The 2408-nt window shown below is 44.7% G+C and overlaps 1 annotated feature.

Annotated features, from left to right (window-relative positions):
* Positions 300 to 827: an enhancer, noted in NCBI's record as "NANOG-H3K4me1 hESC enhancer chrY:2010123-2010650 (GRCh37/hg19 assembly coordinates)". NCBI's record gives its function as "activates a minimal SCP1, AML or CMV promoter by ChIP-STARR-seq in naive H9 embryonic stem cells {active_cell/tissue: H9 hESC(naive)}" and the evidence as "EXISTENCE:reporter gene assay evidence [ECO:0000049][PMID:30033119]".

Below are 2408 nucleotides of genomic sequence, written 5' to 3' on the forward strand. Positions count from 1 at the left end.
GAGTCTCACTCTGTCACCCAGGCTGGAGTACAGTGGCAAGACCTCGGCTCACTGCAAGCTCCGCCTCCCAGGTTCACGCCATTCTCCTGCCTCAGCCTCCCGAGTAGCCGGGACTACAGGCACCCACCACTGCACCCAGCTAATTTTTTTTTTTTTTGTATTTTTAGTAAAGACGGGGTTTCACTGTGTTAGCCAGGATGGTCTCGATCTCCTGACCTTGTGATCCGCCCGCCTCAGCCTCCCAAAGTGCTGGGATGACAGGCGTGAGCCACCATGCCCGGCCAATTTTTGTATTTTTAGTAGAGACGGGGTGTCGCCATGTGGGCCAGGCTGGTCTTGAACTCCTGACCTCAGGTGATCCACCCACCTCGGCCTCATTACAGGCTATTCATGGGTTTTAAGGATAAGGACCTGTGTATGACTGGGGGCTGTTATTCAGCATCCCGCAGCATTGTTTTGTGGATGCACTCTGGCTACAATTCCAAGAAGGCAGCATGAGAAATTTCACAGCCACCCTCCAGCAGGGAGTTGACAGGCACAGTCCAGCCCGGGGCATCCTACTGGCAGGGGAGCTGTTGTTGTGTTGACTTCTGTCAGATCAACATAAGTGACACAGCTTCCTCCGCACACACCGAGGGGGACATGCTTAAGAATGTCATTAGGAGGCCCGGGAGATCACAGCACTAGCTTAGCTAAATGGGGTTTCGGCAATGAGAGTCTGGTGCCAACAATATGGATATTATTTAAGATTTTTAATAAAGCAGGGGAAACAAAGAGAACTGAGAAGGAGGAATAAAGTGCTGAAAAACATTTATCTGCTCTTAAGCAATTTCATTTAAAGGAGAAAGAAACGGAGGCTCAAACCAAAGATGAATATTGACAATGATGTTTTTTGTTTTGAGACGTAGTCTCGCACTGTTGCCCAGGCTGGAGTGCAATGGCGCGATCTCGGCTCACTGCAACATCCGCCTCCTGGGTTCGAACGATTCTCCTGCCTCAGCCTCCTGAGTAGCTGGGACTAGAGACGCCTGCCATCACACTCAGCTAATTTTTGTATTTTTAGTAGACACGGGGTTTCACCATGTTGGCCAGGCTGGTCTCGAACTCCTGACCTTGTGATCTGCCCACCTCGGCCTCCCAAAGTGCTGGGATTACAGGCGTGAGCCACCAGGCCCGGCCCTAACAATGATGTTTAAATAGGCAGAAAAGTAAGGCTGGTTTTGGCAAAGCAGAAAGCATTAAAAGGCCCTGGGCTCGGTGTGTAGAGCTTTGACTACAAAGGGAAAAAGTCACAGGGAAACTGGTTTATTTACATTATGAATACAAAATGCTAAACTGGTGGACTGATTAAACTTATCAGCAAAAGACTAAAGAAAGACATTTTCTGGAAGCATTTGCAAGGGTTGGGTAAGCCACATGGTCACTGGGCAGTGTTCAAAGCAACTGCTCCTTGGAGACCTCTGACCTGAGTATATCTTGAGGGTTTTTCCAGGATGGGGTTCAGGGAAGTGTATTAAGGATCCAAACATCATTTTGGTTTACAAAAAATCATTATGAAGAGTTCAAAATATACAAAAAAAAAAAAAAAAAAAAAAAAAAAAAAAAACAGTCAAAGAGTAAAAACAAACCCTCATGGAAAAAAAGAAAAAAATTGTCTCTATTTGACGATGATATAATTGTCTTGATAGAAAATATCAAATAATCTGGAAAAAACTTTCTAGAACTAATAAATGAGCTCAATAAGTTCACAGGATGCAAGATAAATGTATAAAAATCAATTGTATTTCTATACAGTGACAATGGACAAGGGGAAACCAAAATATAAACTATAATACTATTTTAGGCCGGGTGTGGTGGCTCACGCCTGTAATCCCAGCACTTTGGGAGGCCGAGGGGGGCGTGGATCACCTGAGGTCAGGAGTTTGAGACCAGCCTGGCCAACATGGTGAAACCCAGTCTCTACAAAAAATACAAAAAAATTAGCTGGGCGAGGTGGCAGGTGCCTGTAGTCCCAGCTACTCGGGAGGCTAAGGCAGGAGAATCACTTGAACTCGGGAGGTAGAGGTTGCAGAGAGCCAAGATCGTGTCATCGTATTCCAGCCTGGGCTATAGAACGAGACTCTGTCTCAAAGAAAAAAAAAAAAAAAACTATTTTAAATTGCTCCAAAGAGAACGAAATACTTATATATAAATCTCACCAAGCATATGTAGTTCTGTATGATAAAAATTATAAAATTCTGATGAAAAATATCAACGAAGATCCAATTAAGGAAAGGCATACTGAGTTCCTGGAGCACAATCACTATAGTAAAGATGTAAGTTCTCCTTAAACTGATTTACAGAGTTAACACAATTCAGGCTGAGTGCAGTGGCTCGCGCCTCTAATCCCAGCACTTCAGGAGGCTGAG

The sequence above is a fragment of the Homo sapiens genome, chromosome X, assembly GCF_000001405.40.
Source record: "Homo sapiens chromosome X, GRCh38.p14 Primary Assembly".
In the NCBI taxonomy this organism is placed as follows: domain Eukaryota; kingdom Metazoa; phylum Chordata; class Mammalia; order Primates; family Hominidae; genus Homo; species Homo sapiens.